This window comes from Homo sapiens, chromosome 14, assembly GCF_000001405.40.
Source record: "Homo sapiens chromosome 14, GRCh38.p14 Primary Assembly".
NCBI classification, from domain to species: Eukaryota; Metazoa; Chordata; class Mammalia; order Primates; family Hominidae; genus Homo; species Homo sapiens.
The window spans coordinates 93,678,369-93,704,253 of NC_000014.9; the positions used below are offsets into that span (position 1 = coordinate 93,678,369).

Here is a 25,885-nt window from a genome sequence, read left to right on the forward strand (position 1 = left end):
AATGTTGCATTTCCCGTTCATTCTTTCACCCCATAGGGAACTGCTGATATTTCCTCTACTACTTTTCTAATTAATAACAGTAGATAGATGAGCTCACTAAGATGGAACCATTTCTATTCTTCTCATAGATAGACCATACCTTTGTGTTGCCAAATACTCTGGCAGTAAGAGAGGCCCCTAAAAGAACAAATAGAATGCTTGTCCAAGAAATGTGGGATCACCCAAGTTTTAAACATGTCAAGACAGTAACTGGTACCAATCTGTTTTTTAATTCCTAGAAGTTCTCCCTGGAGGCCTGGCATCATGGGGAATTCCCCAGCTGCCTCTATTGTGGTTGTCTAGCCATGACCACTGTTGTTTACGTATAAAGTTTTTTTACATATGAAGTTTACATATGTAAAGTTTATGTGTGAATTTACATGTGAAGCTGGGTGGCCTTAAATGTTCAGGTGGATTTTTTCTTTTTAATGAAAAAGAGGCGTGGAGATAGGAAAGAATTTGCTGAATAGAAAAATGTCATTTCAGAGTCCAAATTGTTGATCCCCAGGGCATAGTTCTCCTTTTGCATTTTGGACAGATGCACTAGCACATTATTTTAATTCAGATCTATTGACGTTTTTGCTTTTTGTTTCCAATATTTTCTTTTTTGCTGGTTTGCTGTGGATATTTTATGTGTAATAGGTTATTATAATTGTTCTCAAGATAGATTAGAGTTTTCATAATAAGTGATAACTCCCACCATAAAGACTGTTTAAGTTCAAATCAGAAAGAATTTCCTTAGCTCCTATTATGTGTCAAGAGTAGATATTCGACCGGGTGTGGTGCCTCACGCCTGTAATCCCAACACTTTGGGAGGCTGAGGCAGGCGGATCACGAAGTCAAGAGATCGAGACCATCCTGGCTAACATGGTGAAACCCCGTCTCTACTAAAAATACAAAAATTAGCTGGATGTGGTGGCATCTGCCTGTATTTCCAGCTACTCGGGAGGCTGAGGCAGGAGAATCGCTTGAGCCCGGGACACAGAGGTTGCAGTGAGCCGAGATCGCGCGACTGCACTCCAGCCTGGCAACAGAGCGAGATTCCATCTCAAAAAAAAAAAGTAGATATTCTGCTAATTTGCATGTACCACTCCCAGTCTGTGGGGTATACCTGCATATTGAAGTTATGAGAGATCATATTGTTGAAGAAAGGTTTTCTTTTAAAGATGTGTTCGTTGTGGGCTGGAGGACAGAGAACTGGTGGAGGAACAGCTGTTGTTTTTAATTCACAGAGTTATCATTGAATGGGGTTATTAATATTAGTTGAGTTCGTAACAATGTGATCACTCTGAGATTAGAGGTGAAGACATTATTTTGGGTATCATTTTGATAATGAAGTTAGTAATGACATATAATAGATATCATGTTTCTTTTGTATTCATGGGGGAATGCATATTTCAGTGCCCGATTTCCCTCAAGGTACAGAACTCTTCCTTCGACAGCGATCATCATTTCCTTCCCTGATTCTTGTTATATATGATTATATTTTGAGCAGCTCTATAACATCATAATAGATTTTTTTTCAGTTTATGGTTGGCAGCCATAGAAAACAAAGACAGAAAGGTTTATTAAGGTTTTAGTTGTGCATCTGATGTAAAAATATGCTGGATGACAATGCATGGATAAAAAAAAGATGATTTCTGAGGCTTATGCACTTTTATTTCCTTTAATATGCCGGATTCTCTGTGTACCTCCTTTACTTTTAGGGTGATTTTTGATTAATTCTGACTAGTAAGAGTTCTCATAAATCAGACAGTTGGATCCAACCTCAGATCTTGACGCTGTGTGATTGCTAACCATGCTGAAATGTGCTTACATTATGCTCTGCATTGCACTTTGCTGAGTATTATAGGTGAGAAAGTGATCTGCTGAAGGGAGATACAGACATTTAAAATTTTACTTCTTCACAAACCTTATCTTGACCTCAAGGGCCCATCCAGGCCATGCAAACATACTTAAGTGGGGTCTAGGACTTTAAACCATCCTTATAGAGACAGCTCTAAGTGAGCCCCTTACCTCGCATAGTAGATATGGCTCTGTCTCCCCTGTGGCCTCTCTTAGCTATGCAATATCATTTCTGATGTAAATAACTTAATTAAAATTAATGCTGTTGTCCTCACAGAGGTTTTAGAACTCAATTATAAGTTGTTTGTCTTAGACTGAAGACTTAGATAGCTATTTATTTATTTATTTATTTATTTGAAGCAGAGTCTCACTCTGCTGCCCAGGCTGGAGTGCAGTGGTGCCATCTCGGCTCACTGCAACCTCTGCCCCCCAGGTTCAAGCGATTCTTCTCCTGCCTCAGCCTCCTGAGTAGCTGGGTTACAGGCATGTGCCACCACACCTGGCTAATTTCCACCTCAGCCTCCCAAAGTGCTGAGATTACAAGCGTGAGCCACCACACCTGGCCTAGATAGCTTTTTAAAATGAATTTTATGGGAAAACATGCAATCTCTACCAGGAGACTGGGTTGGGAGTGTTCCTTCTGTTCACTGTGTACGTCTATCAAATATTTCAGGTTTCATTTTTTTACTTATAGGTTTTGGCTGGAGTTAAAGGCTTTACATTTTCTAAAACCTGATTTATTTACTTTTCCTTACATTAGAAATAAGCTTAAGTTAGGTGAGCAGACATAGCAAACCTGGATAAGATCATAGAAAACGCTAGGTGTTCCCAGGATGTTACCAGTTGTCCCCTTCTATGCCAGATTCAGAGTTAATGGCTAAATAGATTCTTCAGTTTTCTGTAACTGTATTTGAGGCAAATGGAAATGACAGAATGTTAATGTGGAGATCTGTGTCCACTCCTGTCACACAGCTCTTGGGGACAGCTCTGCTTGTGCCCTCTTGCCCCCATTCAGTTACATATACTTACGTGCTTTCCATGGAGGACGCCCCTCCCACACTTGAACACCAGCTCTTGGCCCTGAGCCGGAAGTCTAAGGGTTCCTTGGCCTCAGGAGGCCTTTGGCTTAGAGGTGTACCCAGTTAGCCAAAACCTGCTACCTGTTAATAATGCTTACATTTAAACCCCTGACTAGCCCGATAATATGCTGGTTTCTGTTCCTTTGTTCCATGCCTCCTTATCAGGCCTCCTAGAGATTTACTCTGCGACCCTAGTTGTTATTACTTCTCTCTAGTGTGACAGGGACCGAGCCTGCTGACCCATTCAGCTTCCCTGTGCCTTCCAGTATGAGAACAAAATGAATGAGAAGGCGGAGCGACTGGTGCTGAAACTTCTGAACTCTGCACAGCAGCAGTTTCAGGTCCCAAAGTTGTTAAGGCTACTGGCCAGAGGGCAGGAAATATAAATTGAACAGGACCTAATTGCTCATAGCCAACTCTACTTCATGGTTAACTTTTTTTCCTAAGACTATTAATAAATAATTGAGTGCTGCATTAAGTGAGAAACACCTGTCAAAATCTGTAATGAAGCAAATTAAATTGAAATCTGGCAAATCCATTCTTGTAATGATCTCAAGTCATAACTGGCTAATGGATTTGCTTTGTAAACTCTCACTGAGCCCCTCTGAGGTGTCCGGCACCAAGCTAGTGCTGGGGATGAGGTGCATCAAGCCTGTGCTCTTGAAGAGCTCACAGCAGGTTGAGAAATGGACCCATAAGTCACTGCAGTCTGACGTGGTGACTGTTACAATGGAAGTGTGTGAAAAGTCCTCTGGGCCCCCAGAGAAGGAGTGGGGGTCTTTATCAGCACAAAGGATACATGTGGATGAATAGGGGCAGGAAGATGAGATGCTGAAGTTCCCCTGTGGGGAAGAAACAGGTAGAATACTCACTCTGAGGTTGATTGTTTTTCTGGTTTCTTTCTAAATATATGATACGATAATAGAAATCATGAAACTGTATGAAATGTGCTTACAGTAACTGTCAAGAAGTACTAAACAATAAATAGAATGACTTCACAATAAATCTGACAATGCTGACATCTTTTATTTTTTCTTTGATTGAATGCACCATTTCAGTGCCACTTAACAGTCTGGGTAAAGTAAGACTCTGTGTGTTAATTTTAGTACTGTGATTCTGAGTTTCTGATAGGAATGAACCATCATGATTAGCAAATCTGATCTATCCAAGGCAGATCGTCATGAAAATAAACACTAATTAATTTAAGCCAAGTTAATAAAATGATAAATTACTTATTAATGTCCAGATACCCTTAAAAATAATTATCCTTTCACTTTTTTATTAGTTTATTTGTGCAGATGCTGGAACCAAACTAGCTGAGTCAACAATCCTGAGCAAGCAGATGATAGCCTCTGTACCTGGAGTAAGTCCTGACCAAATTCATTGTCTACATACTTACATTTCATAGAATAGTAGTTAAGAATGTAGGCTTTAGACTTACATCAGGGTTTGAGGCCTGCCATTTACTAGCTATGTGACTTTTGGAACGTATTTTAACCTATAATTCTTTGATTCATAACATCTGTCAAATGGGATATAACAGGGTTTAACATATAGTTTGAGGATTGAACGAGATAATGCATGCAAAGCATATTAGCAAGGAGCCAGACATAGTAAATGCTGTGAAAATGTTATCTATTAAAAATATTAACAAACATTGCCTATTTTTTGATATTTTAGTTATTTTCTATATTTTTCTATTGTAACTAATATGCAAAGAACATCTTTGTGCTTAAATCTTTGTCCATACTTCAGACCATTTCTTTATAATAGATTTCTGGGAATAGAATGACTAAACTATGTTTTTTTTTTTAAGGGTTCTTGATAATGTAATACAAGGTTCTATGAGACAAAAATCCCAATTCTCAACGACTTATGAAAGTTTATTGTTTGCTCATATGAAGTTTAAATGGGTATCCTGATTAGTAGGGAAAGGGGGATTTCCACGTGCATACTCGGGGATCAGGTTTCTTCCATTATGTGCAGTCCGCTGCAATCAGCTTGATTGTGGTTGGGGAAAGGGAAGAGAATATGGCCCATGGGGTTTTCACAGGCCAAGTCTAAAAGTGTGTGGTTTTTTTCCTACTCACATTCCATTGGCTAGAACTCAGTCACATGACCACACCCAACTGCAAGGGATGATGGGAAATGTGGTCTAGTTGTGGGCCAAGGAAGAAGACAGACCTGGGGAGTGGCTAGCCAGTCTCTGCTGCATGCTCGCTGTTTCCTTTATCGTTTAATTCTTTAAAACTCAATATTTGCTACCTATGCCATAGCTAAAAAAATAATGTCCCTAATAATAAAAGGGTTATTGAAATCAGTAATTAAAAGACGAACATTCCAACAACAACAGAAAAGCAACATATAGGTCCCTTTCTGATGACCAATAAGCCATTAAAAATAAACCTTTTACTCTGATAGCAATCAATGAATTGTAAGTTAATATGAAGTATAAAAATATTTTAAAATATAAAAATTAAAATCGGCTAGCCAATCAGCAGACTTTTCTGTCTCAAAAAAAAAAAAACACACACTTCATCAGGGCATGAAGGACATATAGGAAGCTGCATATCTTTAATGTATGTGACTTGATGAGTTTGGAAATGATTATACATTCATGAAACTACTACTGTGATCTATGCCATGAACATATCCATCATCTCCAACAGTTTCTTCCTGCCCTATTTGTTTTTTTGTTTGTTTGTCATTAGCAATGAGAGCACTTTACATAAGATCTACCTTCTTAAGAAATTTCTAAGTATGTAATGCAATATTTCTAACTCTAGGGACTCCGCTGCTCCGTAAATCTCTAGGACTTACTCACTTTGCATAATTGAAGCCTTGGACCTTTTGACTAATACCTCCCCATTTTTCCCTCCCCAGCAGATCCACCTCAATGATTAGACTTATTGATGGTAAAATGAAACAAGCATTCTTGTAAGCCACTAGTGGTAGTAAAACCAACCTTGCTGGAGGGCAGTTTGACAATCTTCCTTTAGGAATATGTCTGAGAAAATAAATATGCACATGTTTTATATTAAGTATGTTTATTAAAGCATCATTTAAAATAGCAGAAATATGGAAACAAAGTAAATGTCTAACATCATCAGGGTATTGTTTAAATAAAATAAGTTGCATCCATAAGGTAAGACTATTATGTACCTACCAAATCAAAGTTTCAAATAATATTTAATTAATTGGAAAATGCTTATGATGTATTTAATTAAAAAGCAAGTTAGAAAAATGTTATCTCAATCTTATAAACATTATATGTATGTGTGTATGTTATATACATTAGAAAAATTAAAAAAACTTGGAAGGAAATATTAACAGTAGTTTTCCCAGAGGTGGAGGACAGGAAATTAGGATTATGGTGATTTCAATTTTAATTTTAATGATCTGTATTTTCCAAATTTCCTATATTAAACATGTGTTGCTTTTATAATCTAAGAAATGTAACTTTAAAATCAAATATTAGTTTTGAGGAAGAATTAGCTATGGTTTGCTTCAATTTGTGAGTTTGAGTTTTGAATATTTTCAACTTTTTAATCGTTAGTTTTCCTATGAAATAAATGTAGCTCTTCTGAAACAAATGGAGCTTGACTTCTTCTGTTTTGTTTCTTAAGTAACACACCTAAGGTTATTCTTAAGCTTTGCAAAGTAGAAAAAAAGGAGGAGGGATTGGAAATTATATGTTTTGTTTCCTAAGTATATATGGCTCACTAAGATTCTCTTGACCATACAGTGAATTTTAAGGCTTTTATCAGATGTAGCTGGTTGTCTCTAAAACAAAAGTGACTTGGTGGTAGTAAATTCCTTGCTCTCATTTTTTGAGATTCAAACTTAAAAGACAAATATTGAATAATGCTCCTAGGAATTATTTTCAGTGACATTTGCCTAGTTGAAATGCTATAAAATATTGCCTATGAAAGAAACAAATCCCTTTCAAGAAATTCAAGAACATAGTCTCCAGTCCTATTTGCATGACATGTGAAAGGTCAGAGAAAATGGAATAAATCGCGGGGAAATCCTTTCTTGCACGAAAGGATTAATATTCCAAAAGCAGGAACACAATAACCTTTTATAATTCCTTCACTTGATTTAAATTAAAAGAAGAAAACTTTGGAACGTACGAAATGCTTGGAAAACACTCTGACAGACTGCCAATGACCTTACTTTGCTGTTTGTTATCCTGTCAGAAGAACTGACAAGCGTAACATTCTAGAAGAGAGAGAAGGTGATATAGTTCAGTACCGCGCAGATTTACATGAATATGGGAAAATGAGAGCCACTGGGTGAGCTAGTTAAGTCTATAATGTTCCAGATTTTCCTGAAGAAAGCCGAGGAAGGCCTTTAGCGTAGTATTCATCTGGCTTCAAAGCCTGCCTCGTTTGATCCACATGATACCCAGCCTGATGTGTGGTTTCTCTCATACGGCTTTGATATAGCAGCCTGCTTGTTCATTTTCCTTTGCTTTGCTTATAATCCTAAATTCACTGCATTCTCAGGGAGAGCAGGCCAATGTCATTTAACGACCTAAAACACAAACTTGCTTTCTTTTCCTTCAAAACTTTTCAAACACACTTCAAGCATGTGGGGAAGATGACCATTTCGTTTCTTTCTTTTATTTATCCCCTAGCAAGAACTTGACAGTAATACATGTATCTATTTAGTAGTGTACCTACTGTGTATAAGAAGTTAATTTGCAAGCGACTTGACTAGCATGAGAATTTTTGACTCTTTCAGCAAACACGATGCTTGTTTATGTACTTTTTTGACAGAAAATAGATTCAAGATTCTGGTGGTAGAATTTGGTGGCACGTATTTTATGTGTAGCTAAGACTTCCCTAGAATGAGAATGTGTTGCTATGTTTTGGGATGAATGATGTCCTAAAGACTCTGATGCTAATGGCATGACATAGGCTGAATCTTTGCATACAAAGCAGTTTAAAAACAAGCACACACACACACAAAATCAGTTCAATTACCCAGTGGATAAAAGCATTTAGCCCCATCTCCCATAGGCCTCTCCTGTTTCTTTGTTCTCTGCCACAAACCTTCTATCAATTTTTGTCCAAATGCTGGGCAGACAGTCACAGACCAAGCTGAGAGTAATGGAGTGAGTCAGAAATCCAGAAAGTAAAACGACTCCTTAGTAAACAACGTGAAACCAGAGTGAGGCAATCATTGGAGTCAGGGCAAAAATGAAGGTGTGACCCAGCTGTGTCCTTGTGTTTCAGTGTGGGACTGCAGCGATGGAGTGTGTGAGGCAGTACATCAACGAAGTGCTGGATTTCATGGCAGACATGCACACGCTGACCAAACTGAAGGTGAGATGACCGCCACCTGCTCATCCCTCAGGTTCACAAAACAGAGATGCTTTGAGAGAATTAAGCAGACCATAGGGAACTTATCGCTACCTGGGGAGGCAGCCGTGGCACTGTTGAATGAGCCCCTGTCTTGGGGGATCAAAGAGCCAGGGTCCAGCTTTGCAAAGAGGAAAAGAGGAAGGGAAAGGACATTCACATGGCATCAGCCACATGCATAGCTTTACTTTTGCCATATATTCACTTCTCACAATACCTCTGTTAAGATACTATCCCCATTTTACAAATGGAGAAACTGAGGCTTGGGGTGGTGTAGTACTTGCTCAAGTCACACTACTAAGTGGTAAAGTCAAGGTTGAACCCAAGATTCTTGTGACTCTCAATTCATTCTCTTTTTACCACATAGCATCGTTTAATTACCTTGAGCATCAGTTTCCTCATTTGAAGAACGAATCTAATCATCTGTACCTTGCCTGACTGTTACGAGGGTTTGATCAAAAATAATGTACGTGAAGAGACTTTCATAAACTGTAGCACATTATGCAAACATACACCATGTATTATTTTTTGCTCCATTGAAGCTGTTTTCTTAAAATCCTTGATGAAAGGGGATAGAACAAAATTTAATTTGCATATGGACAAAATCCCAGTGAAATTGTTGAGATTATTGAGTTTTTGCAGGGTGGAATGAATTGCTGATGCAGGTCCACTTTCCTGCTGTGATTCAACTAGGGAGCTAAAAGATGAATAGTTTGAGAGATCTGAGGAAGGCCCTAGACAGAGGGCAGAAGAGAATCCAAACATGGTCCAAGGAGCAGCCAAATTGCAATCTGGTGCTAGATGATTCCTTTTTGATAATTAGGAGCTAGTGATCCCAGAAGTTCATCAGCCAAAAATATCATCCCTTAATCACTGAACTGTTCTCTGGCTCTGCTCAGACGATCAAAGTGGTTTTTGGTACAGTGATAGATTTGCAAATCCCAGGCAGAAAGTAGAATCAAAATGTAAACTGAGAATATCTCACGATATGTAAACCCATTCATTTCTTAATGAGCTCCCCTGTCGTTCGCTCCTGTGCCGGTTACTGCTTGCTGAATCTGAATACCCATACTTAAATGACTTTGATGTACAAAGAAGAGGAAACAATTATTACCTAAACATGTTTAGGTTGTTTTGCAGATGCTTTCGAAAAATAATAAGTAGGAACCAGGATCATCAAAAGGTTGGAAATACAGACATAATCTCACCCTCTGATTTTACATATTGGGAAACAAATCAGAAGGATCAAGTGGCAAGTGGCTTATCTAAGGCCATGGGACTAGCTAGGACAGACCTGGGTCTAGAACCTAGGTCTCAATGCCTAGTTCAGTGCCCTTCCCACTGAGCTCACACTGAGCAAAGAAATCTTTCTAAATTAATTCAACAAATAGGTATGAGCACCTGTAATGTCGTGGCACTGTTCTAGGCATTGGGGATGCTGTGATGAGCAAAAGCGGACACAGTAGCTGCTCTCATTTAATTTATAGTCTGGTAGTGGAGGCCACATTTAGTGAACATTTCACACAAACTACAGTAAAAATGTGTCTCTCACAATTGCTATGAAAAAGAGGCAGAAGGCAGCACGGACCTGGCCGGGGAGGTCAGGGAAGGCTTCCCAGAGGAAGTTACATTTGAGCTAAAACCTGAACAATTAGGTGAAGAGAGGCAGGAATGGCATTCCAGACAAAGGGAATAGCAGCAGGGGGGAACACAGAGAGCCAACACAGCTGGAGCTGCAGGCAGAAGGGGTAAGTTCTCAGTGGCTGGATCTTTCTGGCTTTGTAGGCTAGGGAACTTTCCCTCCTTTTATCCTAAGAACAATGGGAAGGCTCTGAAGAAGTTTAAGCAGGTTGTTTGCTCAGAGTGGCGATAAGCGGGGTGGAAATGACAACCTCTTCTTTTCAAAGAATGGCCTGGAATGAATCCAGGTGTCTGCCAGAGTTACAAAATACCATTCGGTTTTGTAGAGCCACATGAAGACATGTTCCCAGCCTCTGCATGAAGATACCTTTGGGGGACATCTCAAAGTGGGGCTGGCCCAGATTGCAGCCATGGACATCTCACGGGGCAACCACAGAGATAACAAAGCTGTGATCCGCTATCTGCCTTGGCTTTATCATCCCCCCTCTGCAATGCAGCAAGGGTAAGACCCTTACTATTCCGGGAATGAGGGTAAAGAAGGCAGGAGACACCCCTGAGTTTCCTCGGGCTCAGCTAGAGTTAAGGAGTACACCGAAGATTTATGACAGTGGAATATACTTGGTTAGGAAGATGGAAATCAGATCCCATCTCCTTACGTACTTGCTGACCCAGAATGCTCTTTGACATGCTGCCAAAAAATAAACCTGTCCTCCCACAAAAACCTCAATTGTCCTTTCATGAAGAATGAAAATTTTGAGCTTAGAATTACCACTTTAATGCTTGATTTCAACTAGTTAAGTAAATTAATAGGTATGTATCAATATATTTGCCTTCAAGCAGCTTAGATTGTAGCTGGAACAAAAGCTATAACAGGGATGAAATCGGTGCAAGATTGTACAAGCCCCTGGCTCTGCCTTTTAGGGAGGCTAAAGAAGAGAGAGGCATGTATGGGTTTGTTGACTTGGGAACTCAGAGTAGGTTTGAGCCCACCCTTTTGTGTGGTCAGCCTTCCTGTCCAGAGGAAAAGTGTAGAGTGGGAATGAGAAGGGTAGGAGGAAAAGATCACTGGGGAGCAGGAAAATGGGCAGCTGTGTTATATCTCCTCATCTCTTTCCTCCCCTCTACTGGGGATGCCAGAGAAGAAATTTCTTTTTTTTTTTTTTTTTTTTGAGACGGAGTCTTGCTCTGTTGCCCAGGCTGGAGTGCAGTGGCACCATCTCAGCTAACTGCAACCTTCGCCTCCTGGGTTTAAGTGATCCTCCTGCCTCAGCCCCCCAGTAGCTGTAATTACAGGCATGCACCACCACGCCCAGCTAATTTTTCTATTTTTAGTAGAGACGGGGTTTTGCCATGTTGGCCAGGCTGATCTCGAACTCGTGACCTCAGGTGATCCACCCGCCTCAGCCTCCCAAAGCACTGGGATTACAGGCGTGAGCCACCGCGCCCGGCCCACCAGAGAAGAAATTTCTAAAGGCAGGAGTGGAAAGGGTTTAGAAAGAGAAGCTAGTCAGAGAGGCAGTCAGCCTTGTGGAAGAATGCTGTGTAATCCTGTGTCACCAAAGGCTGTTCTTTTCTCAAGAAGCTGAGATCCAGGATTAGAGTGGAAAACAAGAAAAACAGATATATCATTTTGTTGACACTCAATTGCCTTGGCGTTTTGTTTTATGTGATTGCCTGCAAGACCACACTTTCAATCCCTTCCTTCAATAAGCATTTGTTATGCACCCAATGAAACACAAAACATAAAATCATCTTTAACACTCCTTCTTCTCTAATAGACCTAAAGAATTCATTGAGTGTGTCTCCCATATCCGACTGTTGTCCTGGCTGCTGCTGGGTTCCCTCACTCACAATGCAGTGTGCCCAAATGCCTCCTCTCCCTGCCTGCCCATTCCTCTGGATGCAGGCTCCCACGTTGCAGACCATCTTATTGTTATCCTGATTGGATTTCCAGAGCAATCAAAGGTAAGTGATTTCTGCAAGATTAAGACCGTATGCATCGCAATTGCTAATGGAAACCTTATCAGCCAATTATGTTTCTTCTGAGAAGAAAATACATCTTATCATTTGCCCTCCTGTGGATGTTAGAAACACAACTTTGTGCTAATGTCTTATTTAAAGTTGTTTAGATTCCCAGACTGTCTTTCCCCCCGCCCCCAAATTGTTTTTCGGCTTACTTTTATAAAGATAAATCATGGAGTCAAGCAAGAGTTGGCTTCCCAGGCATTTCTGTCTCAAAATAATGAAGAGAAATAAAAGGCTAGAAATATAATCAAAATTCTGTGATCAGTTTTTAAAACCAGAGACAAAACAAAGGAAAATTCATTCTCTATCTAATTCTTCATGTACCATCTTTTCAACTGAAATCTCTAGAGATACAGGAAAATACAAAATGAAAACAAGAAGGCCAGTTGGGAACTCACTAAAGCACACATTGGCATGACCTACACAGGGGAACTTTGTAAATTGCAGAGACAGGTGATGTGCTAAAGGAAGAAAGTAGACCCAAGGCAGGCACCAGTCATGAGCCTGTGCAGGCAAACCGGACACATTGGTACTAATCAGCTCCGAGGAGCCAGGGGACCTTCACAGAGCTTCGGCAAGTTCTGGGAGGTCACATTGGTCTTGGGGACAGCTCGGGTTTGGGACAGGGCAAGCTGACGATGTGATAAAATGGCGCACCCATCCCAATGATCCAAATGATGTTCACAAAAGGAATTAGGCAGTCGATTCCTAATATTTCTACTCAGATCCGGGTTTGATTCCTAACTATGGTACTTGCGATTTTGTGAGCTTGACAAGTGTGTCTAACCTCTCTATTATTCAGATTTTCATCTGTGAAATAGACGAGGGGATGGTTGGAGAGTGATGGAGGTGATATAGGAAAAGCCTCTGGCGCCATCTCTGGCGTGTTGTAGGTGCTCTCTCTGCACGTGCTTTCCGCTAGGAGGAGGATCTCCGCTGCTGCTGCTATGATTATGAACTTCTGGGCGTGTATTCACGTATATCACCTGCTTTACTCCCATGCTTTGAAGAGACTACTATTATCCCCATTTTACAGATGAGGAAACATCCTAACATGGCAGAATGATTATTCTCCCTAATCTAGTTTAGGGATGGGAATGTCAGTTTCATTAAAGGGCAAGGGGGTGGGTAGATTTCTTCAGCAAATTAAGGTGCCTTCTCTTAAAAAATGTGCTTTGTTCTCTGAGCACACTCCCACTGGTGGAGAAGAGAGCACAGCAGATAGTTTCAAGGTGATGAATCATGACTTTGTAACTCTGAGATAACGTTATGCCTTTGTGCTTCCCCTGTGCTCCCTGGCAAGACCAAAGCCATGCGGGAGGACTCCGTGGAGGGCCACAGCCTGCTGGGATGCAATGCACTGATGCCGTCTTCTTCCTTTTCAGACCTCCGTGCTGCACATGTGCTCCCTCTTCCACGCGTTCATCTTTGCTCAGCTGTGGACAGTTTATTGCGAGCAAAGTGCCGTCGCTACAAATCTCCAAAATCAGAATGAATTCAGCTTCACGGCGATACTGACAGCACTAGAATTTTGGAGTAGGGTGACACCCAGCATCCTTCAGCTAATGGCCCATAACAAAGTGGTGAGTTCACAGACGAGTTTCCCTTCTGAGATGGAATCTCAAAGTGTCCACACCACTCCTAATCCTCACACTCCCTGTTTTCACAGATCTCAGTTGTAAGGTTATATAAATGGATCGGGGATATGTTACCTTATAAGCTGGATGTTCTGCTTGCATAAGCATTTTGATTAAAAATAAGCATTTTGATTAAAAACAAAATAATAGTTCAAGAGATCTATTGTACGCCGTGGTGACTACAGTTAATAACAATATATTCTATACTTGAAAATTGCTACGAGGAGATTTCAAATGTTCTCACCATAAAAAATAAGTACGTAAGGCAATGTACATGTTAAATAGCTTGATTTAGCCATTCCACAATGTATATCTATCTCAAAACTTTTATATTGATATATGAATATTAAAAAAGCAAACAAGTACAGTTATTAATATTAAAAACAATTTTTATTTTTTCTGCCTAACATCAAATGTATGTTGTATGAAATATCTACCTTGAAGGGTTGTTTGATGCTATAATGTCAGAGGGTTAGGAGTGAGATTCATATTAATTGAGGATTGCAAAGCAATTTAGAAAAACCTTAGCCAATTGGGTAATCTATTTGTGGTGGTTTAAGAGTAGACTGACTACAGGTGTTCATTCCACTCAGGCCTCAAAGCCTGAAAAGAGCCTCACGTTTTCAAGCTGGCTTATAGGGACCTATGCTCCCCAATCTTCAAATCCAGTACTGTTGAATGTAGACGGCTACCAAGAAAGGGGCTGTTCCAGAGCTCATTGGAAAATGTCTGGGGTATGGCTAGCCTAAGCCCACTTCATTGAACCAGTGTGGAGTATTCATCCTGGAGTCAAGGTTGGAGGATATATGGAAGGAATTTACAAGGGAGTCCTTTGGTTCTGACTGTGTATTGGAGGAGGACTCTCAGCTGGGAAAGCTGCAACCAGCGTCTTGTTATGGGGACACCATCAATAGAGTTCTTGTTTGTGAGGAGCAGGGGACCTGGAGGGACACCATAATGATGATTCCAGTGTACCCTGAAACCCAACACTACACTGCCCACAAAAGGCATTCAGGAAATTTTTTTTAATTGATAGAATAATAGTCTAAGAAGTATTTTCTTTTGGTTCTTAATTAGAAAGGGGATGGTATATTTCCTTTAGTGAAGCACTTTGTTCTTTAGAGATGCAAATGATACAGGCAATTCTATGTGTAGAGAGATGTCTTAGTTCAATTTAAAGGAAGTTTATGTGAAAATCTTAGCGTTTGAATAGTTCTGTTAATGGAAAATAATTACATTTATTGGATCACAGATTCTAGGACTAATGAAGAATTTGGAGATCAAACATTCTATTCTGTTATTTCACAGACAACAAAACTGAGGCCTTACACTTAAGCTAGAGATTAAAAATGTTCCTTCTATCATTAGTTTTTTGATACCAAGAAATACCTCTCCTCCAAATCACTCTCCATATTTAAATGTTACAAATGAATTTGTTGCACATGAATTTTATGCAAATGATATTACAAAAGAATTTGAATTAAATTCATTCTGAAAATTTTGTTAAACCATATAAGCCAGTCTGGTAAAATCTCCCTGGAATATTTAAAATCCAGCCATAGGAATTTCTGATGAGGGACATCACCTCTACTGTCTTTGAACTGTCGTAAGCATGGCTACATTGTCCCACGGAGAATAAAGCCTCGGAAGCAGATCTGCAGTGAATTAAACAGTTATTGCCGATGAAGACACTGTGTAGAAAGGATCAAGATTGAGAAAGGATCAAGATATTACTGGGGAACATTGATGTGAAAATTACCCTAGTCTAATGTAAATCCCCTTACCTTGCAAAAGATATCCAGAAAACCAAGGAAAATAGTCTGTAATTGTCTGACTTTGTATCTGGTGCTTTCTCTAAGACAAATTAATTTAGTTTCAAATAATATTATTTTAAATCATTATATGGTGTATAAAAGTAATTCAAGCATTTGTCATCTCCCCTCCCTGGGTACCCTCCTCTCAAACAGACTAGCGTGATACAGAACTCTTACACCCAAAGAGTTCCGTAGTTAGAAATGAAGGCAACAGAGGCCATTTATCCCCTGGTGTGAGTCAGTGCAGTGCAGATTAGTGAGATCAATGCCTGAATTCCATTGGCAGCCCTGAGTTGAATGAGGGAGGCATGACAATTACCAAGCCTCTGGAGCTTTTTTAAAATTCTTTTTCTGGTTTGACGTTTCAGAGGTGAATGAACACCACTGCCAGTGGTCTCCTACGGTCATTACACAGAAAGACCTCATGGGCACAGGACATCGGTCTTCTGCGGCTGCAAACTAGTTTGCAAGGTTTCTATATCACTGGAAATGGAATTAACTTTCATGTTTGTTGTTTCAGATGGTAGAAATGGTGTGTCTCCATGTGATTAGTTTAATGGAGGCATTGCAGGAATGCAATTCGACCATTTTTGTCAAGGTAGGAAAACCTTATGATTTTTAAAGACCATTTCTTACTGCTAAAAACAAATGTGGATTTATGTTGAAGGTACTTTCTGAAGATAATTAGTTTTAACATTCAGAGTTGGGGCTGGAGAATTCAGGCTCCTATAACAACCCTTTACCAAATGGTTATTGCATTAATTTTGCTCTTGGTCTACCACTGTGACCAACTTTACCTGGGTTAAATCTATCAGACCAGGCCAAGCATGGTGGCTCATGCCCATAGTCCCAGCATTTTAGGAGGCTGAAGCAGGAGGATTGCTTGAGCCCAGAAGTTTGAGACCAGCCTGGGCAATATAGTGAGACCTTGTGTCTACCAAAAAACAAACAAAAAAAAAGGTAACACAAGTACTGAAAATATTACTGGGGAATATTGATGTGAAAATTACGCTATTCTAATATAAATCACCTTACCTTGCAAAACATATCCAGAAAACCAAGGAAAATAGTCTGTAATTGTCTGACATGGTATCTGGTGCTTTCTCTAAGACAAATTAATTTAGTTTCAAATAATATTATTTTAAATCATTATACAGTGTATAAAAGAAATTCAAGCATTTGTCATCTCCCCTCCCTGGATACCCTCCTCTCATCAGAAACAGACTAGTGTGATACAAAAACGAAACAGTAGAGAACTTGGTTTCCCACTCCGTTTATCTTTCTGCCTCCCCTCTTTTTCCTTTCCTTCCTATCGTTCCACCTCTTTGTCTCTCTGATCCTTCTTCCTCTCCTTGTATCTCTTCTTGTATTTCTTTATCTTTCACCTCTATATTCTATTATCTTGGCCACTGTCACCAACCACCATCACCACCCACTAGTGGGCATCAACTTGGAACCTTATAACTTGCTGTTTCATTCCTTGGTTAACTCCACTCTTCAACAAAGAACATTTGTCACATTCACTCACACTATGCTGAGGAAAAGCAGCCCATTTTCAGGGAAAACTTGACTGTTACCAGAACAGAACAAGATCATTGGTTCAAATGGGTTAGATATATGATATGTAGCTTGATAATAGCAAAAGTCAACACTGTTGGAGTGCAGTGGTGCAATAATATACATATGGCAAATGGTACATATTTAAAACGTGCAGTTTGGTAAGTCTTGACTTACATTATGCCATGCACCATGATCAAGACAATGAACATATCCATCACCTCCAAAAGTTTTTTCAGGCCAGGCATGGTGGCTTATGCCTGTAATCCCAACACATTGGGAGGCTGAGGTGGGCAGATCACTTGAGGCCAGGAGTTCAAGACTAGCCTGGCCAACATGGTGAAACACCATCTCTACTAAAAATACCAACATCAGCCAGGCATGGTGGCACACACTTGTAATCCCAGCTACACGGGAGGCTGAGGCAGGATAATCGCTTAACCCGGAAGGTGGAGGTTGCAGTGAGCCTAGATTTTGCCACTGCAGTCCAGCCTGGGCAACAGGATGAGACTTTGTCTCAAAAAAAAAAAAAAAAAAAAGCAAACAAAAAAACAACCAAAACTTTTTTCATACCCCTTTATAATCCTTCAGTTGGGTTACTCATCTCCCTGTCCCCAGATGACTACTGACCTGCTTTCTGTCACTATAGATCAGCTTGCACTTTCTAGAATTTTCTTTAAGTGGATTCATACAGTATATACTTCTTTTGCCTTCTTTCACTTGTAATAATTATATTGCGATTAATCCATGTTATTGCATGTAGCAGTGGACAATTACTTTTTATTTCAGAGTAGTAGTCCATTGTATGAATATACCACATTTTCCTTATTCATTTATCAGTTATTTGACATCTAGGGGGTTTCCAGTTTGGGGCTTTTACAGATAAATCTGCTATGAAGAGTCATGAAGATGTCTTTGTGTACATATATGTTTTCATGTATGTTGGGCAAATACCTAGGAGTAGAATGTCTGGGCCATGTGACAGATGTATATTTACCTTTAAAAAAATTGTTTTCCAAACCATTTTCCAAAGCTGTTGTGCTCTGTTACATCCAGTATATGAACAGTGTATGAGCATTCCCAGTTCCCCCACATCTTTGTCAACACTTGGCATAGTCAATCTTTAATATTAATTATTCTAAGAGTTGTGTACTGGTATCTTGTTGTGGTTTTAAATAGCATTTTCCTGTTTGCTAATGACATTAAGCATCTTTTCATGTACTTATTTGCTGTCCATATGTCTGCTTGGTGAAGTATCTGTTAAAATTATTTGCCCATTTTTTATTGGGTTGGGTTTTTTCCTGATTACTGAAGTTTGAGATACAAGTCCTTTATCAGGTATGTGATTTGCAAAGATTTTTCTCTGTGGTTTGTCTTTGGAATTTTTAATTTTGATGAAGTACCATTTACCAATTTTTTTCTTTTATGAATCATGCTTTTGATGTTGTATTTTAAAAAATCTTTGCCTAGCCCAAAAATAATAAAGAGTTTTATTTGTGTTTTATTCTAAGTGTTATCTATGTTTTCACTTGGGTGTTAGTTTACATCTGTGATCTATTTTGAGTTAACTTTTGTATATGGTGTGAGGTGTGGATTGAGGTACCTTTTTTGTATATGGATAGTCAGTTATTCCAGCATCATTGTTAAAAATACTATACTTTCTCCGTCAAATTGCCTTTGCACTTTTGTCAAAAATCAAATAACTATACAATTCTATTTCTGACTTCTTGATTCTGTCCCATTGATCTCTATTTCTTTATTTTTATTTTTATTTTTTTTCCTGAGACAGAGTCTCACTCTGTCACCCAGGCTGGAGTGTAATGGTGCAATCTCGGCTTACTGCAACCTCCATCTCCCAGGTCCAAGTGATTCTCCTGCCTCAGCCTCCTGAATAGCTGGGATTACAGACACCTGCCACCATGCCCAGCTAATTTTTGTATTTTTAATAGAGACAGGGTTTCACTATGTTGGCCAGGCTGGTCTCGAACTCCTGACCTCAGGTGATCTGCCCACCTTGGCCTCCCAAAGTGCTGAGATTATAGGTGTGAGCCACTATGCCCGGCCAGATCTCTGTCTATTTTTATAACACACTGTCTGCGTTACTATAGCTTTATAATATTCATTGAAATCAGGTAGTGTCAGCCTTCTAAATTCATTCATCTTTTTCAAAGTTGTTTGGCTATTCTAGGTCATTTGCCATTCGAGATAAATTTTAAAATTGGTTTGTCAATTTCTACAAAAAGATTGTTAGGGGGTGGACACAGTGGCTCATGCCTGTAATCCTAGTGCTTTGGAGGGCCAAGGAGGGAGGATTGCTTGGGTCAAGGAGTTCAAGACCAGCCTGGACAGCCTGGCAGCATATTGAGACCCAGTCTCTACCCTGCAAAAAAAAGATTTTTTTAATTAGCTGGGTATGGTAGCACATGCCTGTAGTTCTAGCTACTTGGGAGGCTGAGGTAGAGCACAATGATTTGAGACTTTTCTTTTCTAATATAAGTGATTAGTGCTATAAATTTTCCTCTAAGCACTGGTTTAGCTGCATCCAACAATTTGGCATGTTGTGTTCTCATTTTTATTCAGTTCAAAATACTTTCTAACTTCTCTTTTGCTTTCTTTCTGGCATTGATTATTTAGAACTATATTGTTTTACTTCCAAATATTTAAAGATTTCCAGAGATTTTTCTGTTATGGATTTGTAGTTCTAATGTATCAGAGAATATACTTTATATAATTTGATTCATTTTAAATTATTGAGACTTGCTTTATGGCCCAGAATATTGTGTATCTTCATAAATGCTCTGTGTGCACTAGAAAAGAATGTGTCTTCTGCTGTTGTTGCTTGGAGTTTCCTAAGTAAGTTAGTTCAAAGTTTTTGATTGTATTGCTCAAGTCTTCTATGTCCTTCTTGTTATGTCTGTCAACTTATTCTATCAATTATTGAGAAAGGGGTATTGAAATATCTCTGAATGTGGATTTATTTTTGCTTAATGTATTATGAAGCTCTGTTATTAGGCTTATGTCTTTAGGATTGCTATATTTTCCTAATGAATTGAAATTATAAAATGTCCCTCTTCATCTTTGGTAATATTTTTAGTTTAGTTTAGGTTTTTTTTTTTTTTTTTTTTTTTTTTTGAGATCAGGTCTTGCTCTGTCACCCAGACTGGAGTGCCGTGGTGCGATCTTGGCTCGCCACAACCTCTGCCTCCCGGGTTCAAGCAATTCTCGTGCTTTAGTCTCCTGAGTAGCTGGGACCACAGGTGCCCACCGCCATGCCCAGCTAATTTTTGTATTTTTAGTAGAGACGGGGTTTCACCGTGTTGGCCAGGCTGGTCTTGAACTCCTGACCTCAAGGGATCTGCCCACCTTGGCCTCCCAAAGTGCTGGGATGACAGACATAAGCCACCGTGCTCAGGCTGAAAAAACTTGGAGGTGATGGATATGTTCGTTATCTTGATTGTGGTGCATGGCATAATGTAAGTCAAGACTTATCAAACTGGGTGTTTTAAATATGTACCATTTACTATATATGTATTATTGCACCACTGCACTTGAACAGTGTTGACTTTTGCTATATCAAATTACTAAATGTTACCCATCTTTGGTAATATTTACTAATAAAACAGTCCAGCTTTCTTTTGACTAATGATAGGATGGTACATATTTTTTCATCTTTTTACTTTTAACCTATCTATGTTTTTGTATTTAAACTGCATTTCTTATAAGCAGCATAAAGTTGGATGTTGCTTTTAAAAAAATGCAATCTGACAGTCTCTTCCTTTTGATTGAGGTTTTTAGATCATTTTCATTTAATGTGTTTTGTGATATTGTTGGGTTTAAATCTATTATCTTACTGCTTGTTTTCTATATTTCACATCTGTTCTTTGTCTCCTGTCCTCTCTTTTTGTGCCTTCTTTTGGATTAAGGTTTTTATGATTAAATTTTGGATATAATTTCCTTTTCTTTGTCTAATTAAGATAAACTGAGATGGCAACTAAGATAATTAACTTAAGAACTTCCTTCTTTTCAAACATCAGCATTTAGTGCTCTAAATTTCCTTTCAATACTGTTTTAGCTGCTTTCCCCCAGATTTTGAGAGATTCTCATTTCCATTCAGATCAAAATGTTAATTTCCAGTTTGGTTTCTTCTTTGCCCCTTAAGTTGTTTAGAAGTGTGTTTTTTAATTATCTTTTAGCTGTATGTCTTTGTTGTTGTGTTAGTGGTTGATTCAGAGTTTATAGTATATATTTTTAATCACAGTCTGCCTTCAAGGAATATTATACCACCTCATATATTGTATAAGAACTGTACAATAATATACCTCCATTTCCCACCTCCTGACTTTTTGCTATTATTGTCATACATTTTCTATATATTTTATAAAGCAAATCATACATTATTATTTTTGCTTTAAACAGTTGACTATCTCTTAAAGAGATTTTAAACAAGTTTTATGTTCAGTTATATTTGCTATAATTGCCATATTTATATTTGCCATTTTAATGCTCTTCATTTCATTCTATAGATCTAAACATTCATCTTTCATCTTTCCTTCTGCCCAAAGGATTTTCTGTAAAGTCTCCTGTGCAGGTCAGCTGGTGATTAATTGTTTTAGGTTTTGTATGTTTTAGAAGCTTTATTTTGCTTTCAATTTTGAAAGACAGTTTCACTGGGTATTGAATTCTAGATGGATGGTTTCGGAGGTTTTTTTTTTTTTTCAATACTTTAAAGATATTGCTCCTCCATTGTCTTTTTGCTTATATTGTTTCCAACAAGAAATCTGTCATTCTTATCTTTTTTGTCTGTATGTGATATGTCTTTTTTCCTCTGTTGTCTTTGCCACTATGGTTAAGCAATTTGATGATGCTATGCCTTGGTAGAGTTTTCTTCATATTTCTGGTGCTTGGGTTTGGTGAGCTTCTTGAATCTCTGGATTTATAGTTTTCATTAGATTTGGAAAAATATCAGCCATTGTTTCTTCAAATATTTTATTCAGTGCCTCTACTCAACATGCCCAATCTTTCTTCTACCTTCTTGACCATATTGAATATAGGTATCATAACTGTTTTAATGTCCTTGTCTGTTAGTTCTGTTATCTGTGTCATTTTTGTTTTATTTTCTGTTAATGGATTTTTCTCCTCATTCGTGTGTTTCTTTTGTTGTTGTTGTTTCTTAGCATGCCTGGTAATTTTTTATTGTATTCTTGACATTGTTAATTTGACTTTCTTGGGTGATGGATATTTTTATATTCATATAAAATATTCTTAAGCTGTATTCTGTGACATAGTTACATAACTTACAAATATCTTTATCCTTCTGAGGCTAACATTTAAGCTTTGTTAGGTATTGATCAGAGCAGCAATTTTTGTAGGGCACGTAGTTCTTCACTGCTGCTGCTGTATACCACTATCCTTATCAGTACTCTCATGATGTTCTATGAGTTATAAGATTTTTCCACTCTGACTAATAGGAACACAAAATATTCTTGGCCCTATATAATCACCAGGGGATTTTTTTCCTTCTAAGATTTTCGGGTCGTTTTTTCTCCAGTGTTGGGTAGTTTTTATAACTTGCATGTACTGGTCAGCACTCAGCTGAAGACTCAGGGGGATCCCTTTTCAGATCTTTGGAGTTGTCTCTCTCTCTGTAGATCTCTCCTGTCCAGTACTCTACCTTGAAAACTGTAGTCACTTTGACCTCCCAGGGCTCCTGGCTACCTCTCCTCACTCAGGAAGACTGCCAGGCTCCACCTGCATTCCTGCTGCCAGTGCTACTGCCTGAAAACTCTCTCTAGGCAGTGAGCTGGAATACCTGCAGGACTCACCTGGTTTGTTTCCTTTCCCTCAGTGATCTCTGTCCTGCATTTCTTGATGCTCAATACCTGAAAAACATTGTTTTTTATAGTTTGTCTGGATTTTTAGTTGTCCCAGGCAGGAGGGTAAATCTGGTCTTTGTTACTCCATCTTGGCTGAAAGAGAAAGTTTCATCACCAATTTTAATTTTGAGGGCTGGAATAAGCAGGATTGAAATGAGTACAGTCCAACCAGGCAGGAAGTCTTCCATTTGTTCTGTAGCATGAACCAAGATAAGAGGAAGGGTATCACTTTTATTCTTGTGAAAACCTATTTTTTAAATGTCCTTCAGTTTTCAGGATATTGTTTCTGAAGAGGGGGGAGAAAAAAAAGCCCAACCAACTTTACTCCATCATAACATTGCAGAGCCCAAAATAAATCACATCTAATTCTTACTGACAGATTTGTAGGAACCACTAGCAAAAGAGAATGAAAATGAAAGTTATTCAATAAGTCAAATTAACATTTCTGAAATAGGGTGATGGCTGGGTTATATAATGTCATCAATAATGATGAGCTTTAACTGGATACATTTAGTCACGTGATTTGCAAATCACAAACCTGAAGGTCCCTTGCAGGTATATTTTAGAATCACATGGTCATAGATTACATCAATGGGGAAATAATAAAAACACTTTTAGACCAACATCACTATTCCCCTTGCTTGCTTCACATGGACGCTTAGCCACAGTGGCAGCACTGGGAAAGGTATCCACCCAGGGACAGGGTACTCAGTACTCCCTGACCCTACTCTTCTCAAGTCCCTCACAATTCTTAACAGGAGGTTAGTTTGGGTATTTCCCAAATATCAAGAGGCGTATGGGCCCACTTCTGTATTAAATAGTCAAAGGTCAACAAAGTCTGTAGCATCAGCACCCTCCAGGGCTTGCTTTTTGCTGTGCAGAAATTATAGGGGGAGACAGTTAGACTAGATAAATTTTTTTTTTCCATTCAGAATGTCTAGAGGAGCCAGTCCTAGTAAGGGTCAGAGGGCACAGCCTTATCTGGTACCAATCTTTGTAATCCCACCGTTTTGTTATGAGGGTTGGGGGACAGGGGGAGGCATGGAGAGGGTGGCATCTTCTGATATTTTCAGCTTTAGTCTCATTACATTTTCTGATACACACCATACTCCATTTATAAACACAGTATTCATGTTAGAGACCAAGTGTTAGCTAGCTGCAACAGAAACACTACGTTTAGGAATGTTTAGGAGTAAATGTCAATAGAAGTCAAATTAGCGAATTATATACATCAACAGAATGTTAAAAGTCAAACAACAGCCAGATTTAGCCTTGGGAACAAAAACAGGGAGAGAAATGCAGCTTATCACTTCACCAAGTTCATTTTAAAGAAAATGTGATGAATTCAATGAAACCAGCAGCTTATGGCTATGACTAACTTTGAACTCTGAGGTCATTCACATACTGTCCCCCATCCCAAAAAGCTCTCCTTCGTCTTTGGTTTTGTTCATTACATCAGTGTCCCCCAGTTTGCCCAGGTTAGAAACCTCTACCTCTTCTTTGACCTTTTCCTCACTTGAAAGAGCAGACTCATCCTCAGATCCTCAAGATTTGTCTCTGCAGGTGGAATCCTTCCCCATCCCCAGAAACTGTCCCTGGTCTTCTCTGGACCATTGAGGCAACCTCCACAGTGGCTCTTGCCTCCATTCCCTGCCTCCTTCTTCACCCTAATCTGCAGGCTGCTGCCACGGTGATCTGTCTGGAGCACTGTTTTGCTCATGGTGAATAGAGCATCCCCTCTTCGGAAGTTGTATTGAATTTGGAATAAAATTCAGATCCCCTAATTTGGCATTTAGGGCCATCTGGTGGGCTAAGGGTGTGAAGGCCTGGCCTGTGCTTTTCTAAACTTGTTTTTCATGGCCGTTTTCTAAGAGCCTCACATGTCAGCATCACGTGACTGTCTCCCCTCCCCGACTCTCTGCACACTCCCACCAATGAGCTTCGCCATGCCTTCTCTCTGCTTCCTGGAATGCCCTTGTTCTGGCTTCCCAGGACTACCAAGGTATTACAGTCTGGGTGGTTCAACCAACAGAAATGTATTCCCTGGAAGTTCTGGAGACCAGAAGGCTGAGATCAAGGTGTCGGCAGGGTTGGTTTCTTTTAAGGGATTGGAGAGAGAATTTGTTCCAGACCTGTCTCCTAGCTTCTGGTGGTTTGCTGGGTCTTTGGGGTTCCTTGGCTTGTAGGTCCCTGTCTTCATCTTCACATAGCATGCTTTCTGTGTGTTTGTGTGTAGGTGTCTAAACTCCCCTTTTTATAAGGACACCCGTTATATTGGATTAGGGGCTCACCCTACTCAAGTATGACCCCATCTTAACTAATTTACATATTCAACAATCCCATTTCCAAATAAGGTCACATTGTGATGCAGTGCAGATTAGGACCTCAATATAGATTTTAATGGGGCACAATTCAATGCATGACAACACTACTCCTTTATTTGAGTGGAGGGTTGGAAGGAATATGGAGCGAAATGATATGATGCATATTGGTGTATTAAAGATCTGAGAAGTACTGAAATATAGAAACTAACATTTCCAAACCTATTGGATCGGAGTCCCCCTCCACCATTTAAAAGCTCTCCAAATTAGAGTGCCATGGGACACAGTTTGAGGAATGCCATATTCTGTCTCCGACTTCTGGATGCACAAGGCCATGAATATTTACTTAGATTTTAAAGGACTGAAACACGGAGGAGGGCCCAAAGCAGAGAGAAGGAGCAGCTTCTGGAGGTCCTCAGGCCAGGGCACCTATGACCTCCTCCCAGGAAGGACCACATCAGAGGGGTTGAGGTCCTGTCAGAGAGGCAGCAGAGGGCCAGGGTTCTCCAGCAGGGACTTGCTGCTTGGCTGTGTGTGCTCCCACACTTCGCAGACACCCGGCTCAGTCTCGCTGTATTACACCTTCCAGATCGCAGCCAGGCATCTTGGAGTGGTCTTTCTCGCTCACTTAAGTGTTCCATCCACTGACCAGAGATATTTTCTTAATGACTACAGGCAAATAGAGTCG

At 39.4% G+C, this 25,885-nt stretch overlaps 1 protein-coding gene across 33 annotated transcripts in view, besides 4 other annotated features; it reads left to right on the forward strand.

Moving 5' to 3' along the window:
* UNC79 (unc-79 subunit of NALCN channel complex) overlaps positions 1-25,885 on the forward strand; it is a 374,695-nt gene that overhangs the window by 345,187 nt on the left and 3,623 nt on the right. For 32 of the 33 annotated variants that reach the window (XM_011537027.3, NM_020818.5, XM_011537026.3 and 29 more), the window contains 6 exons: positions 4,249-4,326; positions 8,204-8,293; positions 10,297-10,472; positions 11,749-11,935; positions 13,381-13,578; positions 15,967-16,044. In XM_011537027.3, the coding sequence (XP_011535329.1) occupies positions 4,249-4,326; positions 8,204-8,293; positions 10,297-10,472; positions 11,749-11,935; positions 13,381-13,578; positions 15,967-16,044 (807 nt within the window). Of the gene's footprint in view, positions 1-4,248; positions 4,327-8,203; positions 8,294-10,296; positions 10,473-11,748; positions 11,936-13,380; positions 13,579-13,664; positions 13,790-15,966; positions 16,045-25,885 lie in introns of those variants that run through there. The other variant, XM_011537025.3, reaches the window with a different exon arrangement.
* Positions 9,116-9,810: an enhancer, noted in NCBI's record as "NANOG-H3K27ac hESC enhancer chr14:94153830-94154524 (GRCh37/hg19 assembly coordinates)". NCBI's record gives its function as "activates a minimal SCP1, AML or CMV promoter by ChIP-STARR-seq in primed H9 embryonic stem cells {active_cell/tissue: H9 hESC(primed)}" and the evidence as "EXISTENCE:reporter gene assay evidence [ECO:0000049][PMID:30033119]".
* Positions 9,811-10,504: an enhancer, noted in NCBI's record as "OCT4-NANOG-H3K27ac-H3K4me1 hESC enhancer chr14:94154525-94155218 (GRCh37/hg19 assembly coordinates)". NCBI's record gives its function as "activates a minimal SCP1, AML or CMV promoter by ChIP-STARR-seq in naive and primed H9 embryonic stem cells {active_cell/tissue: H9 hESC(naive and primed)}" and the evidence as "EXISTENCE:reporter gene assay evidence [ECO:0000049][PMID:30033119]".
* Positions 10,505-11,198: an enhancer, noted in NCBI's record as "H3K27ac-H3K4me1 hESC enhancer chr14:94155219-94155912 (GRCh37/hg19 assembly coordinates)". NCBI's record gives its function as "activates a minimal SCP1, AML or CMV promoter by ChIP-STARR-seq in primed H9 embryonic stem cells {active_cell/tissue: H9 hESC(primed)}" and the evidence as "EXISTENCE:reporter gene assay evidence [ECO:0000049][PMID:30033119]".
* Positions 11,199-11,892: an enhancer, noted in NCBI's record as "H3K27ac-H3K4me1 hESC enhancer chr14:94155913-94156606 (GRCh37/hg19 assembly coordinates)". NCBI's record gives its function as "activates a minimal SCP1, AML or CMV promoter by ChIP-STARR-seq in primed H9 embryonic stem cells {active_cell/tissue: H9 hESC(primed)}" and the evidence as "EXISTENCE:reporter gene assay evidence [ECO:0000049][PMID:30033119]".